The following is a 17,627-nucleotide window of genomic DNA, read 5'->3' as shown; positions in this document are numbered from 1 at the left end:
GGAATAGGACCCGGTGCTTTACATGTAACATCACAGAGAAAACTAAGCAAAGTTTGCTTTAAAAACTCCTTTGATAAAGAATGCAACTGAAAACAAAATATAGTCACTTCTGTCTATCAGAAATGAAATACAAAATTAAATAATCGATGAGGAAAGGGAAATTTATATATTTAGGTTGGCTTTAAGAAAATGTATTATAAACTATCGAATGTAGATTTAAAGCCACCAAAGCACTGTGAAAACCCAGTCCCATTCTTGGCAGTCTAGGTTCATGGCAGAAGAGGTCTCGTCTTCTTTGGGTTTCTTCCCCTGCCTACATGACCGGATCTATTCTTATTTTTCTGTGCCCAAGGAATAGCACACGATGTATGCTAGCTAAATTATTTCTGGATGGGCAGAAGAAGAAAGATGGAGATAACTCCAAAATTTCCCTAGATATTTTGCCTTCTTTGTCATTACAAATGGGTACATCTGCTAATGACTTTATTGCCACTGGCATTTCCCTCTTACAGCTAACTGCCTCCAAGCTTGTCCCTTTCACAATAAAGAAGAAAGGAAACTTCATTCATAGTTTCATGCTTAACTAAGATTCCCATTGCCAGCATACCCTAGCAAGAAAGCTGACGGCCTCAGGAAGAACCAGTCTTTCTTATTTGACTTAGGCACTCAGGCACTCAAAGCTCCGGAACATGCTGCCAAAGCTTTGTTTGCAGTGCCTGAACTATTCAGCACTGGAACTGAACGCCCTTCCACCTGGCTGCAATTGGATCTGCGTGTTAACCTTTTAGTTTCAACTTGCAGTGGATCACTTTTTCTTTCACTCACAGATATTAATTTTTATAACAGCAGAACTTGAGTGCTATGTCTTTTCCTGTATTATAAATGTAAGTTATAAAGGTGATATTTACCTTTTGATTCAAAAGCATTGCTTTCATCATGAATTCCATTGATTTCTTTGGATTCAATATTCTGGAAAGGGTAAAAATGCTAGTTAATATTCTCTCCAGTTGGACTTTGGCCTTAAATAATGCATTTCGCATTAGTGAAATATATATTTTAACAAGATGAGTTTCTCGGGATATTGATGCATTCCTTACAGCCTTTTACATGTAGTAGAAACTTAAGTTTTTTCATTATACTTCAATATTTGTGGCAGAATTAATGACCAGCTGCAGGCATGGATGAGTTTAAGTTTAATCGATCATTAATTTTCCAAGAAATAAAATCAGCTAGATAATCATTAGTCCATTTGGCTTATATTTATGAGTACACAAAACAGTCATATAGGATTCTCAAACACTTAAACATTTCTTATACAATATAGTAAGAGCTCCTTATTAAATAAAAGAGTTATACCTTGAGATGATAACACAATCTAAGGAGTGAGTATAAGTGCATAATATTTAGTTGAAATTTAAATTTAATTATTAATTTAAATGAACAATTTGTATCATAAATAGAAACCACATGACTTCAAAGTCTACAGGAAAAAGTATTGCTTTGATACTTAGAAAAATTTCTACATTATATTTTTGATCAAATTAATGAAACTGATTATCTCTTAACCACATATGTAAGTCTACCCATCAAATTCACCTACACAAAAACTAAAAATGCTTCATGAAGTTTTACATTACACCCAACTATTAACTTTATTTGCCAGTAAAGACTAAGGAACGCATAAAGAAGTTATAGTTTATAATTTTATGTAATTGCTACTTCATGCTCACAAAGATCTGAGAGGTGGGTCTAATGATGAAAGATTGGTGGAAAACACCTGCAAAACAACATTATGGGGTCTTTGGATTTTACCATTATATAACTCACAACTACTCTATGAGGAATGCCTATGATTTTCAAAAATATATTTTACTGTATCTCTTTACTATAATTTACATTATTCAATCATTTACATTTTAAAGTTAGCATCAAAATTGTACAAACAAAAGAAATTATTTTCTTCCATACACAATTCTAACAGCTGCTTTACTCCACACCAGTACTTCCTACTTCTCCAAATACTCACAGAACTCTGAAGGCTTTCGGAGAAATCAGTTGTTACAGATAGATTTGAAGATTTTTCTGAGTTGTAAATTCCAGAAGTTGCATCAATCCACTTTGTTTCAGGTGAACCTATAATTTTGGTAGCCATACTGGTGAGATTGAGGGTTTTATGCCGTATAAATGGCAGGGAAGGTTGGTCTTTGCCCCAGTCTGATTGGCACATGAAGATCAAATGAGTACACATAGATGTTGAAGTGGAAAGAATAAAGTCATTGAATGCACATATATATAAAAAAAAATCTACATATACAAGACAAACAAATCAGGCAGCGTGTGAAATAAATCAAGAGTTTAGGGCTTTTTACCAACAGACCACCTTCCCAAAACACAAGGGTTAAATCATGTTAGTAATGAAAAAACTAGCAAATTTGCTGAATCTTTCCCATAAACCAGGATAGATATTTTATTTTGATATCATAAGTTGGTAGGTCTGCAGAGGCTTAATGCCTTTTCCCATCTAGCCTCTATAATTAAGAAACACATTAATGGAATGCACATTGAAAGTTCTTTGAGAATAAATAGAAATATGACCTACCAAGCTCTCTCTCTTATACCAATATGGTTATGATGCTGCAGATAAAGTTAAATCATAGCATAATTCTTAATACTCAATATTATTATAAATAACTCCTGGATGCAGATACATTTGTCTTCAGTTGGTATTTGCATTCAGTCAAACCAGTACATGAATCAGTCAATAAATAATGTAGAATTCAGTAAATTTGCTAGTGAAAAATCCAGACAGAGTATTCAAAGGGGTAGGGTTCAAGATTTGTCATGACGTAACTACAAAAACCTTTAATGCCAAAACATAAGTGAAAAAATAAAAAGTTATTGAAGCAAATTGTTAGAACCACTTGCCAACGGCCAGGTCCCAGTTTCAAATGCCAGACATGGTGGTAACACAAACTCACCAGCCTTTCCATAGCGCCTCACATCCATCACTAGGTGTCCAGTTTCTTGAGCCTTAGCCATGGCTTCCTCCCACTCTTTTGAATCGTTATATGAAAACTTGGTGTTGTTAATAGCAATAATTTCATCATCTACTTGTAGCTGAGAAAATTCTGCTGGGCTACCTAAAAATGCAAAATAAATTAACCAATTGGGGAAAAAAATCCCACATGTTCTATTAGTTGCTGCTTTGAACTTAAGAAAAATGACTCTGAATTTCAATTAACCATTTCTCTCTTTTTCAGGTGGAGGTCACTATTTTTTTTAATACCAAATATCTGAGTACAACATACAAAGCATTAGAGGTGTTTTTTGAAGTTCTATAGAATGCATCTTCATTAAAGGAAAAATGATAAACTCATCTATTCAATAAGACTTCTTTATTAACCTCCCAAGGACAAAAAAATTTAAGTTACTCTTAAATTTGAAATATGAAACATACTGCATTTTAATTGAGCTTCCAATTCAGATACATTCTGGAATGAAGCAGAAGAAAACACAGCTATTTAAAACTGCTTAAAATTACTCCATAACTAAAATACCATTATCTAATTAAGGCAATCTTAAGATGTAAAAGAACTAACTGGTGTTAACATGCAATTTTATATAGCTAAAATATGTAAAAAAAACTAAAAAATAAAAGTAAAAATAAAGGAACTCCTGTTTTTAATTTTAGGCCTTGTAATGTTTTGCAAAGAGTTCCTGGGCTTGACATGGTATAGACCTGGACAGGGGAGGGGTAATCCTTTTGCAGAAGTCCTGAAGCACCCTGAAAACTTCATGGGCAATAGGTATATTAGAACACTCAAAAAAAATCAACTTATTAAATAGCACATATATATCTACTACAAAGCATGGCTGATCATGGAAAGCTCTTTCTGAATCTTTACTTAAGCGCCGTTTGTTAGCATTTCCAAATATAAAGTCCAAAATGGATAAAATCTGTAAAATCACAAAATTAAGACTCTTCAAAACTAAAAGTAATTAGTCAAGGAGAATAAACAATATGGAATTTGTAACCCCAACTAATAATCTCAGGAAAGAGGATGTATTTTCTGGCCTTATGGTTGCATTTTTCACGTTTTCTCCTCCTATATCAAATACACTAATTTCTGTGGTCCCCAACCCCACAATGAAGGATAGAAAAGGAGAAGAAAATTCAGTAGAGCTAAACACATAATTTACCTGCTTCAACTGATGCTACGAAGATCCCAGGAATATCCCATTTTATTGTAAACCCAAAGTCAAGACTCTTCCCAGGCGTCTGGTTTATGCTGATTCTCATATCACTGAACTGATCCTGAAAACAAAACATGAAACGCTGGTATCCGGTGTCCCTGGCACCCACATGGAGGAAAGTCTATCCATGAAAGGAGGGAGACTGCACGCTAGGTAGACTTGAATCATTTCATGATAAACTAGAAGCTTCATTCTTTCTTCCTTAGGTTGGTAAAACTTTCATTTATATAAATAGCACCAAGTTTATTATTTTTCTGCTAAACTAAGGGAAATCTTATTGTCATTACATGTTTTTCTTCATATTAATACTTTAATTCAGTTGGCCGTGGATAAGCTTAGGTTTCTGCCCACTGTACAATTGGGTCTAACTTATAGGCCAGGCCATTTATTCACTGCCCAGGAATAAAGTACAGTGATTTAAATCATTTATTTAAAAAGGACCACCATACTTTTAAACACCTACTCCCAATACTTGGCATATTGATCTGAATAACTTCAAGTGGTTCACAGACACATAATTTAGCCTCCAGTGGCATCCATCTAGGACTGGTACCACTCCCTAGTGGGCATGTGAAGTTTGGCAAGGCATTTTTGCTTGCCCAAATGCCACATGAAGATTTAGCGTTAAAGGCATAGCTGCTCTACATGCTGCAAAATGCAGAACTATGTCACCTGTAAGGAATTACTCCTTAAGATACCAAGAGGGTCCCTATTGACACATCCTGACCTACAGTCCATGACTTCTTCAAAATGACATCAGCTCATAAGCCCCAAAACAATAGCCTCTTGGACAAAAGGTATAATTATTCTCATAGCTATCACTGTACTACACAACAAATTCCAAATTTCATGGAACTTAAGTTATTTTCTAAACCAAATGTTTCGAGTTTTACAGTATACTACGTCTGTGCAAACCTTAATTTCTTTTGTAATTTACATATTTTGTTTTGAGTAAGCAACAGATAGATTTTAATATGAATTTATGAGACCAGTGTTTCAGCTCTGTTTCCTAATCACAAAAAACTTAGACTTACCTGTTAAAATTCTTCCTAAACCTGTTTTACTTTCCAGAAAAAGACCTACCAAATCTCCATTTTAACTTGGCAGTTAAACCTAACCCAGGAACTAATTGGGCACTTCATAAAGCTTTCTGCCTAAGTTTTTCTACCCATAAAACAGGTTTAAAACAAGTAGCAATATTCTGAGAAAAACTAGGATAGTACTTGCTATGGTGTGGATGTGATTTGTCGCCACCAAAACTCATGTTAAAATTTAATTGCCAATGTGGTAGTGCTGGGAAGTGTTACCTTTAACAGGTGTTTGGGTCATGAGGATCTGCCCTCATGAAGGGATTAATGCAGTCTCATGGGAGTAAGTTCTCACTCTAGCAGGACTGAATTAGTTACCACAAGAGCAGGTTGTTATAAAGTGAGGTTGCCTTGTTTTGGGTCTCTGCACACAACATTTGCCTATCTGCTTTTCCACCATGTTGTGACACAGCACATGGTGCTCACCTGAAGCCAAGCAGATGTTGGTGCCATGCTCTTGGACTTTCCAGCCACCAGAACCATGAGCCAAATAAACCTCCTCTTTTCTTTATAAATTATTCAGTTTCAGGTATTCTGTTATAGCAACATTAAATGGACTGAGTACACAAGAATTTGAAGGAAGGCACTAAATAAAGGATCAAGAATTTACTACTCTATATGGACAGGCAGAAGTATTATGACTTTCACTCATTCAATTGTTTGACATACATTTATTGTTTACTCTGTATAAAATAATACAATACTTAGCACTTTGGGAAACAAAGGTAAATTAGGGATGATTCTCGCTCTCAAAAAATAATTGTTTATATCTCAGTGGGTATGGGATTTTTAGCTTTCAGCAGAAAGCCCTTTGTAAAGCAGTTTAAATGTGGAAATGCAGATGTAGTCATAACACTCGTTAATAATCACCTGATGAATGCCAATCTGAAGAATATAATAAAACTCTGCTAAGAATAGCAAAAACTACTGGTAGGTTCTACTCCTTAGCCAAAACCACCATACACTTAAGTTAGAGATGACTCAGTGAAAATAAGTGGTCATCTTCACCACTCTTACAAAAAAAAAAAATCTGACTTAGAGCCAATTAAAGTGCAGAATCTATTTGCTATATAAGGAAGAGAGACAAACAGACAAATCATGGGTTACATATTCAAAACATTGTGTTTTATAGCTTGAAGAATAAAAGACAGGATGGAGTCTTAATAAATACTCTCAAACTACATAAAGCATATTTTGTGGGAGATGGCAAGTGAACATTATCCTTTTCTACCAAATATAGGATCAAAGAGAATGAGCTTAAGCCCTAGAGGGAAATGTCTCACTGTTCTATTAGATTGGACATACTATCTCATGAAGGACTGTACTTACCTCAGAAATAAAGAAATCACTATTTAAACATCTTAAATATTAATAAAAGGGCAGATAACCTCCTCCTCTTTGAAAGGCTTAACAGAAGGACAGTGTCCCTGTGGCTACAGCCAGGCAGAGTGTTGTGTTAGTCCTTGGGACAGAACACAGGCAAAGAGGAGAGGACCACATGGGCAATTACAGGTGTATATCTGTCATTAACCAGGTGACCACAGGCATGTCACTGGGCCTGGTAAAGCCTTCTCTTTCATAAAAATACTGATTTTTAATTTTGGTTTTAAGTAGCCTAGTTTCAAATCAAAGTCTTATGCAGACCACCTCTTTCCAAACCACTACACAGAAGGATTAAAGTGGGTGGTTGTGGTTTCAAAGTAAGAGTTCCAGAGCCCCACTTGTGGGGCCTTCCCCTTATGGCAGTCTTGAGGCATCTCTGTCCAATCCCAGGTTCTTACAGTAAATTATTCCTGAAACTTCTTGCAAGTGAACATATCTATAATTACATTCAAGTATAAATTGTTCATCAATGATTTCAGGAAGGATTTCAACTTCCTTATTTTTCTCTGCAAGACATATGCCAAGTGAGTATCCTACAAAGAATCCAAGCTTCAGAAGATAATAATGACAGAATCATCTTTGAACTGGATGGAACAGGAATATAAATTGTTGGGGGAAACCTAGATTCCTGAAGACTGATAATGAACTATCCAAGTGGTTTCAGTTGTTCATGCCAGAAAAAGACAAGGCAGTTGTCTATCATCATCTCAGCGTATAAGATAAAAAATTTCCCTCAAATTAGGTATAACTTGAGCAGACACATCCACTGAAAGTTCAGATTGCCCCAACAACTGTCAGACTGATGAAACAGAAGTACAAGACTCTACATTTTTAAGCAAAAACATGAGGAGGTTTGGAGTCCCAACAGTAACACTTATTTCTGCTAAATCTGTTGAATTAAGATTTTCATGTCAACATAGATAGAATTTAAAAAAAAAAACAGGGCCAATATTAAACACGAAATCGAAAAGCTACACTCCTCGAATTTTTTCTATTAGACAAATGTGTTAAGGAAAGCCTACTTAGTTGTTAAAGTTAACCCTAAAAGTAAATCTAGACTGTAAAATCAGGAATATCAGAGGAAATCTATAATCTTTGAATTTGTGTACATATAGTTCTTTAGTGTCTTTCTTTCTGGGTCTTACTGGAATGAGAAAATGAAGTGAGTAGCCCTCAAATCTTGGTCTTTCTCTCTAAATCCTGATCCATCTCTCCTTCCTTCATCCCACTGTGGCAGGTAGTGTTTCTATAATACACCCACCACTGTCCTCATCCCATTCCAAGATTATCTTCTACCTACCAAATACATCTTGAGTCTTCATCCCTCCAGGCACTGCCCACTATTCTTGCTTTCTGGGAAACAATCTTCTAAAGTCACCTATTATCTCACTTTCTCCAGCCTTTTTTCCCATGTCTCTTGCCACTTCTCAGTTTCATTAGCATGTTCCTCTTTTTTCTCTTCTCTTTTCATTGTGTTGTTTGTTCCTTAGTCTCCAGCCTCTCTGACTACATGCTTTTGTGAGCAACCTCATTCATTGCCATGTCTCCGATGCCTAAGTCCAACAATTCGAAAACTGAATTCATTATCTTCCGCCCAAACCTGTTCTTCCACCTCTTGTTTTTCATATTTTGGTTAATTGCATCAATAGTTCATCAGGTGCCCACGTTAGAAACACTGGATTCCTTCGAGGCCTCTTTCTCCTTCTTTCCCCTAACTGTTCCCCACTCGAATGCCACACAACAATCCCTGTACCCCTACTCTCCACCCTACACACTTGCATTTTACAAAGTTCTATCAAGTCCATAATCCATCTTGAATCACCCCATCTTTGCCACCCTCCCTTGGGTTATCATCTTGGTTCAGGCCATGATCTCCCCTAAACTCCTGTGGTTACCCCTCCTAAGTTACTCTCTTGCCTCCAGCCCTTATTTTGTTCATTGTCCACACAGTTGCCAGAACTTTAGTTATAGAACATGCTATTATATCACACTCCATTTTTAAATTGCTGGTAGCTCCTTACTGCCCTACTTGGAAGATTTCAAACTCTACATTTCAGTTCTGGTAAGTTTCAATAAACATATAATACCACCTTTCCTCAAAATGGTTTCAAGGATGATTTTATCTTTATGGACCAAAAGACATTTCTGTCCCCAGTGGCTCTAAAATTCTAAAGACACAGCAAAGTCCAAATAAGTCAACATGTGGTCTCTTAACTATACATAAGGCAGTCCTCAAACGTGAGCCTGTCATATTTCAAAAAACTTTAACATCAGATAAATTGCAGTTGTGGCGCAGGCATTTCACCAGCCTGGGGCAAGTTACATAACTTTCAAATCTCAAGTACTTCATTGGTAAAAACGGGGATAATACACCTACTTTGCAGAGTTATTGAGATAATTAAATGAAACATTTAAAAGGTGTCAAGGCACACATGACTGATGCCCAGTAATTGCCTTCTTTTTCCAATGGAAGCAAATGTTAAACATAATACAAGTGCCGGCTAAGCAGTTTCTGGATCAATTAAAGAAAATCCCATTTAATTCTCACATACTTAGCTCTAAAGTCAAGAAAATTTGGTCAGCATTCAGTGAACATGTACAGATGCAGACACTGCGCTGACAGTGAGAAATGTAGGATTGTGTTCCACCCTTACAGAGAGCAGGTCCTAGTGAAGGTGAGAAGCAAGCAAAATGCACAGTATGAAGCTATGATAAGGGAAGCTCTGACTACTATATCCCAAGGGGCAGTAATCATGGGGATGAGATCAGGAAATGGACATGCAGAAAGCTTCCTTCCTTCCTTCCACACGTGTCATCCCGTTTGGGGGTTACTGCTTTAAAAAATCTGGAGCAGAGGTTCTGGAAAGTGGATTTGTAGAGGGTTTAAAAACATAGAGCTCTGAAAGGGCAGAAAAAACAGAAACCTGTAGGCAAGACCAATTTTGGGGAAAATCATGAAAACCACATCTGCATGGCAGACGGAGGGGGGATGAAGGACTCCAGGAGTCACACTCCCTCTTCCTTGCCTTGGGTCACCTCTAGAATGAGCTTGGCAGCCTAGATTGTCCAGAAAGGTAGAGAAAAAAGCAAAACCACAAAAGAAAGGGTGCAAAAAGAATAGCAAGAGACAAAACCCCCAGCTCAGCTATGAGGATGAAAAGGAAATTCCTATCGGCAGATTTTAAATAAGACCATATTAAGTTCTTCCCTTCATTATGATTGTTCTACTTTATGGCACACACCACCTTATTAGTGCAATGCTGTGATAGGCTCCTAACCAGTCTCTGCTTCCAGACTTAGCTTTCGTAAAATAACTCTAGGGAACACCATAGTGCTTACATTCCTAAAACAGCCCTTAATCTTAAAATTCCCACACACTAAAGCACCAATAAGGACTTTAAATTACCTGCCAGATCAAGTTCATACTTCAGCCTAGTAATTAAGGCCTTGAATGCAGTTCAAGTCCGTAAAACTTAAGTGTCAATTATGTGTAAGAATGTACAAAGAATATCAGTGAAAGAGGAACACGTAACACTATGGGACAAGGAAGAGTTCAGTGAGTGAAACTTTTCAAGGGTAAGAAGTTTGATTCCAATGGGGGAGGGGTGACATCATGATTCATGAACGAAGGGGTCCTCCTGGGCTTTTGAGAAATAATTGGACCTCAAAAGGCAGAGATGTGGGAAATAAGCATCTTCAAATGGGGGAGCAGTGATGTGCTCCAAAAAGTACGTGATGTGTCCAAGAAAAAGCAAGCAGTGGTATGCAGGTGAATCGTGTCTCTTTCCCAGGACATAGCATGATAGCATAACATGATACTAAATCTTGAGTCAGACTGCCTGGGTTCAAATCCTGACTCCACTTGGTACCCTGCACGGCCTTGGACAAGTAACATGCCCATGCCATGCCTCAATTTTTATGTTTCTAAAACAGGTATAATCATGATAGTCCACATTCGGATTGTTGATTACCTCACAGGGCTGCTGTGAGGATTAACTAAGATACTGCCCTGAGAAGCCTGGTTGGCACATAGTAAGCACACTAACTTCAGCTGTGACTGCGCTACAAAGGGAGTGAGAGATATCACTGCTTCCCTGAGCGCCACGAACTCCATTCAGCAAACCACACAGTGCCACTAGAGGCTTTAGAGCAGAGAAATTATTGAGTCCAACCTGGCATCAGGCAAGTTAATCTGATGCCAGTCTTGTGTAGCATGCACTAACACCTGTGACTATTTGCACTGATAGGAAAAGGGCCTGAATTAGCATAGTGGAAGCCAGGATAGAAAAGAGTAACATCAGCTGGGTGTGGTGGCTCACACCTGTAATCCCAGCACTTTTGGAGGCCAAGATGGATGGATCGTTTGAGCCCAGGAGTTTGAGAGCAGTATGGGTAATGTGGCAAAAGCCCGTCTCTACAAAAAAATACGAAAATTAGCCAGGCGTGGTGGCATGTGCTTGCAGTCCCAGCTACTCAAGAGGCTAAGGTGGGAGGATTGCTTCAGTCCAGGAGGTTGAGGCTGCAATGAGCCATGATCATGCCACTGCACTACAGCCTGGGCAACAGAGCAAGACCCTATCTAAAAAAATCAATTAATTAATTAATTTTTAAAAAAAGAAAGAAAAAGAAAAGAATAACATCAAGGGGGAGTCTGGAGGAAGAGATGAAAGGACAGTGCCAGCAAAAGTCCAAGGTATGAAAGAGAAAAATGACCTGAAGAACATTCTTTCACAAAGCTACCGAAACATTTAGATGATCAGCCACATGCTACTCTTGATTTTGCTGTCCTCTGAACACCTAGAGTTATAACATCTGAATAGAGTTTCAGGGAGTGTTGCACAGGCCCTTTACATATTGCTCAGCAGCTGTCACACACATTCACATCCTTCTCTCAAGTCAGTAAGCTCCTTCTGAGACAAAGGCAAGGGGATGCTATAGAAGCTACTGCCCTAGTGGCACAGAAAAGGACACACCAAGCATCAGAGATACGTAAGTCACCACATGAATTATATCCACATTAAAGAATTCCAATGGCTTCACTTGTCAAATCAAGCCTAATTTTTCTTGGTGGAATACCCTCTCAAGTTTGGGAACAAAGAAGTATAAATCCATTAATGAGGAAATCTGAAACAGTGCCACATTAATTGAAGCTCCTCTGAGTTGCGATAACCTGAGACACAACCACGCACCACACTTAGCCTCTTTTCCTTAATCCACAGTTGCAGTTAGTCAGCTGCCACCCTGAGGGAGGTACCAACACCCAGCGTGCAGCACATGATTCAGGCTGCTTTGTTGAATTTGCTATTTGAAAAAGGTAAAGGCAAACATGCAAATCTGTGAAACAAAAGGCACTTCGCTTCTGCTTTTATTATTCATCTACTGGTACCTTATGTTGCCCAAGTATAACACAGGCTATTGTTCTTCTCCACTGAGACTTAGCATGTTAATTATATATTTCCAATTCCTTAAAAATGTAATGATAATTTACAACTAATTATTTCAGCAAGCTGAAGAAACTGTTTTTAGATATATGTAAATATGCATGGGAAAAAAAAACAAAAGAAATATACCTAGATGTTAACAGTGATTATCTCTAAATGATGGAATTATCAGCAATTTAAATTATTTATACTTTCCTGCATTTCCAAATTTTCTCAAGCACATAGTACCTTACAACCAGAAAAGAAAGTTTAAATTTTTTAAGTTTTCCCATACAAATAAAAACTCAATAATAATAAATATGCAATGCCAAATTATTTCACATATTTTATTAATATAACTTAGGACAAGTCATATATATAAATATATATACACACACACACTCTAATACTAATATAACTTAGGACAAGTCATATATATACACATACTTAATGTATATAATACACACTTAATGTTTTGCAGGGCAACAGGGAATACTAAACCAAGCCAAAGGACCACAAAAGCTCTTCCATGCTAAGGGGTTCATACAACTATCAAAATGCTTAGAAAGAATCTTTCTAAGAGAGAGACACTTTCTGTTCCCCAAATGCTTTCAGTATGTTTTACAGGTAGGCTACAAAAAACATTTATTACCTAATCATTCTCTTAGAAGTCATCTATTAGAAATTTAAGTAGGAAAAACTACACATGCCCCCAGTCATTCTTCATCTGATGGTATATTTTGTTTGGACTCCAAATGTTGTGGAATACAATTGTCATATTATAACCAAGCCTCAATAGTCCCATTTAGAGACAAGGGACCATCGAAAATTATAGACGTTCTAAAGTACAAAATAGTATTAAAAGTCACTAGAAGGTTAAAATTATCGAAAAAGAAATGCCATGTCCCTAGACTCCAGCACCTATCATGTTTTTCCTTGCGGCCAGTTGAGTTCCCTGGGAAAGGGCTTCTGTCACCCAAATATACACTAGATCTGCATGTAAAACCTTTAAAGTGACTGCTGTACCTGAAACCTGGGACTATAGCACTAGCAGTATAAGGCAACCACTACTGAAACATGGAATATAGAGAAAACACCAGCCAAATCCCAAGGAGACTGGTGCACAAAGTCTCCATACACTCATATCACAAGTGTTATCTGGATCTATGCACTCAGAGTGGAAAGAGACCTACTTCCTCCAAGATCTGTTCAAAGTAAACCAGAATATCATTTTGCACATTTTCAGCCCAGATTAACACCTAGAGGTTTGACATTTGAGACATGGTTTCCAGATTTAAATGTGTAAGTGTCTGAGCCACAGATGATAAAGAACTTTTCCAAACTCACCTGGGATCTTGAGACTTCTCTTTGTGGGGAGATTTCCCCTTCTCCAGATTCAGACATTAAATCAAGACCAGATGTGGAAGACAATGTGGCTTTAGAAGTGGCAGCCTGGTCTTGGGAAAGAGATGAGAAGGGGGATGTAGGAGAGGGCAGCCTTGTCACATCTTCTTCTGTTGCTGCTACCTCTTTCTGGCTAGATAAGCTTGAAGCCAGTTGGCTTGCGTCCGGGCTTGGTGCAGGGGTGCTGACCACATTGTTTGGAGTTCTCTTAATGTCTTCAACATCTCCATTATACTTCCAAGCATCATCCATCTAAATAAGAAAACATCATTTTAAACTTGATATTCTGTTACCTTTATTTCTGTTTTTAAAAGTTGTTTATTAAATTAATATTTTAAAACTAAAATAACATACCTCCCACAGTAACATAACTATTGCTAAAAGCTTGGGCTGAGTTCTTTCACACCAACAGATAAACACGTAGTGAGGGAAAATTGTTTTAGCAAAAGCATTCATATCACATACAAACTTCCGAAATTTGCTTTGCTTGTTTACTCCAAGCAAACATCTTAAGCATTAAATTTCCACTGAATCTAAACTGGCGTAAAATGAAATTGCCATATATACATGTGTTATGTACAGTTTACATATCAAGATGGTGTAACTCTAACCTCTAAACAAGTTCACCAACATTTTGCTTTTCAGAACAGACTAAATGAACTGAGAACATGTTTTACCATGTAAGATCTGGGGAGTGATGAGATTCCCCTTAACTGAGAGCCAAAAGGTCTTGGTGTTCTATCTATTGATCACTCCAGGTCAACAGATAGAACTCTAAACCAGTCCCTTTACTTGCTGAATGTTCCATAGTATGGACATCAACAATTTATTCATTTGATGTGCATTTAAAGTTGTTTGAAATGTTCTGTCACTTCCAAAACTACTGCAACAAATATCTATAACTCTTTATAATTGGAACTTTTATTTTTATAGCACAGATTTCCAAAAGTAGGCTTGCTGGAGCAAAAGTTTTATATATATATATATATATTTTATTATATATATATAATTTTTAGAAACTATATATATATATATATATATATATATATATATAGTTTCTAAAAATAATTGTAGCAACACACTGCCGAAGTAATGTATGAGGAACATCTGTTTCTCAGCATCCTTGCCAACACTAGATATTTTCGATGTTTTTAAGTCTATTTCACTCTGATGGGTAAAAAGTTATATGCCTCATTCTTGCTCCAGGGAAGCTGAACATACTTCTTTGTGCTTTGTTACCAGACATTTGAATCCCCTCTCCCTTGAATTGGCCACTACTTTTCTATATTCATTTTGCTAGTGTATTTGCTTACCAATTTGTAGAAACATTTTCTGTCTTAGAGATATTAACCCTAAAATGCATTTTGATAATATTTTTCTGAGTCTATATATTGTCTTTTGACTACATTAAGGGGGTCTGCCATGAAATTCTTATAATGTCAAATATGTCTACATTTTCCTTTATATAATGATCAGGAGTTTCCCAATTAGCTTAGGTAAGCTTCTCTCACCCCAAATATCCAATTTTTTATACCCTTTTAGAGTTTAGGATTGTACATTAGCAGAGCTAAAAAGAATTTGAACATTAATCTTAGGACTGTGTTGCTTCCTTTCACATAATTCAGATTAACACACTCATTGTCGGATATGGTACCACTTCATTCTCAGAAAAAATGCTGCAATATTCTAACCCCTTCAAAATCCTGACACTAGTAGAAACACATATATATAAACGTAAGATATATTCTAATAATTACATTCAAACTGATAAAGTGAGAAATCTGAAAAAAGCAGAAATGTGTACATAAGCACCTGAAAATCTCTAGGCTAAACCATATGAATTGCTGTTTTATAGGTCAAGAAGAACAATCATACTGACAACTTCATATTTTTCAACCTAAAACTTTACAAAAGGTACATCTAAAAAAAAGACATTATAAAATAATACTCTGCCTTAGAATATATCTTATTCATTCTTTAAAATGTATCAGCCCTACTTTCACAGAATTTAAAGTTTAATAAATTCTGTATCATTGATATATCTTAAGCATTAAGTTTCCATTGCATCTAAACTGGCATAAAATAAAATGTCCTTATATATGTTATGTACAGTTTACACATCAAGTTGATGTAACCCCAACCTCTGCACAAGTTCACCAACATTTTGCTCTTCAGAACAGACTAAATGAACCGAGAACATTTTTTACCGTGTAAGATCTGGGGAGTGATGAGATTCCCCTTGTCTGAGAGCCAAAGGGTCTTGGTGTGACCACAGATGTTAACCTGACTGTATCAGTTTTCCGGTAACTTCTGGGGAGAGAAGCTGAAACACGAGTTGATTCCATTTGTGTGCTCCGTGAACGCAGAGAAGACAAAGAGGCTGGGCTTTGTTCTTCCACAGGACTTTGAGAAGGAAGCTGAATTTCAGTTGTTACACGGTCCTCTCTTTTTGCAAAAGTGGTAGAATCTTCTTTGGGAATTTCTGAAGGATAAGTTGCTCCCTTCTCTTCTACTCTCTCACTCTGGTAACTTGCTTCTGACACAGTCATTGTAGGGGGTCGCTTTCCTTCCTCCAGCACATCATCAAAAGAATACATTCTCCTTCTTGACGGAACTGTAGACTTTTGATTTTGGGATTCCCTTAGCGGAGAGAAATGCACCATCACCACAAAGACACACATTTGACACACAGAGGTGGTGAGAGAGTAATCAACGCATGAAACGGACTGGGAATAAAATGATGCTAACTTCACACAAGAATCAATACAACACTTACAGAGCATAAAGATGTATACAATTATCTTTTTTTTTTTTTTTTTGAGACCGAATCTCGCTCTGTCGTCCAGGCTGGAGTGCAGTGGCACGATCTCAGCTCACCTGCAACCTCCGCCTCCCGCATTCAAGCAATTCTCCTGACTCAGCCTCCCGAGTAGCTGGGATTACGGGCATGCGCCACCACACCCAGCTAATTTTTCTTTTAATTTTTAGTAGAGATGAGGTTTCAACATATTGGCCAAGCTGATCTCGAACTCCTGACCTTGTGATCTGCCCACCTTGGCCTCCCAAAGTGCTGGGATTACAGGCATGAGCCACCATGCCCAGCAAGATGTATAAAATTATCTTTAATGTCCCAACTAAGAAAGAATAATAACTTGACTTCTTTAATTAAAATGGTTCTCAAATACTTCACTGGGATATTATTAATTGTAAAGAGATTTTAATGAAACAAGGAAATTTTAATAAAGGATTATTCACAAAATTTTATCCACAAGCTTATAACTTTTAAAATTAAAACACTATAAATATCATGATTGACAACCAATTTGAACCTTCCAAAGTCGTGGATTAATTGACAGTCTTGTGAGGATTTTCTTCCTGCAAAAATTTACAGTAATTTAGTAAAAATAAAAGATTACAAAAGACTCAGGCTTTTGTGGAGATCAAACTGGTGTATGATTTCACATAGCTTGACAGAACTTGCATGAACATTTATCAGGGATTAAAAGTCACCATTCATATTTATAGAAAGGTTCATAAAACACCCTCATCTCTCACATCTAGAAAGGAATACCTACCTCCCAAAATAACTGAATTGCATTTAAGTGAATGAAACTGCTTATCTTTGGCTTTTAGGGCAGAAAGTGGCTTTGTTTCATTTCACCTGACAGCATATTTCCTTTTGGACATTATTCTAAAAGCGTATTTTCCTTCTCCTTGATCTGTAAATATCCTGATGTTTCACACAGTAATGAATGCTTTACATTAAAGTTTAAATTTGACCTTTATACTGTTAAGATGCAATGCAAAGAGTAAGTAAAACACACACATTTATGTTCATAAAAACTTTCTTTAAAATATAATGAATTGCACCATTAAACATGAAAAAGAACTTCGTTATATTTTACACAATTTAGTTAAAAGAGTGAGCTGATTTTATTGGACCATCTCATTCCTTAATTCACTTAAGAGTAAAAAGCAGTGTATTTCCTGCATCAGACACAGCCAACACCATCCAATTCTGCATGTGAATGCACAATGTAAGAAGAAATAATGAACACCTATTTTAAGTCCTCATTTA

At 36.8% G+C, this 17,627-nt stretch overlaps 1 protein-coding gene across 56 annotated transcripts in view, besides 1 other annotated feature; it reads right to left on the bottom strand.

The window, feature by feature from the left end:
* Positions 1-17,627, bottom strand: part of LMO7 (LIM domain 7) — a 239,437-nt gene that overhangs the window by 22,505 nt on the left and 199,305 nt on the right. For 28 of the 56 annotated variants that reach the window (NM_005358.5, NM_001306080.2, XM_047430309.1 and 25 more), the window contains 6 exons: positions 15,757-16,189; positions 13,493-13,801; positions 4,201-4,315; positions 2,979-3,140; positions 2,027-2,133; positions 909-969 (listed from right to left, as the gene is read on the bottom strand). In NM_005358.5, the coding sequence (NP_005349.3) occupies positions 909-969; positions 2,027-2,133; positions 2,979-3,140; positions 4,201-4,315; positions 13,493-13,801; positions 15,757-16,189 (1,187 nt within the window). Of the gene's footprint in view, positions 1-908; positions 970-2,026; positions 2,215-2,978; positions 3,141-4,200; positions 4,316-13,492; positions 13,802-15,756; positions 16,190-17,627 lie in introns of all 56 variants that reach the window. The other 28 variants (XM_047430323.1, XM_047430329.1, XM_047430352.1 and 25 more) reach the window with 1 other exon arrangement.
* Positions 11,773-12,274: an enhancer, noted in NCBI's record as "NANOG hESC enhancer chr13:76399228-76399729 (GRCh37/hg19 assembly coordinates)". NCBI's record gives its function as "activates a minimal SCP1, AML or CMV promoter by ChIP-STARR-seq in primed H9 embryonic stem cells {active_cell/tissue: H9 hESC(primed)}" and the evidence as "EXISTENCE:reporter gene assay evidence [ECO:0000049][PMID:30033119]".

This window comes from Homo sapiens, chromosome 13 (genome assembly GCF_000001405.40).
Source record: "Homo sapiens chromosome 13, GRCh38.p14 Primary Assembly".
In the NCBI taxonomy this organism is placed as follows: Eukaryota; Metazoa; Chordata; class Mammalia; order Primates; family Hominidae; genus Homo; species Homo sapiens.
This window is presented reverse-complemented; position numbering and strand designations above follow the sequence as displayed.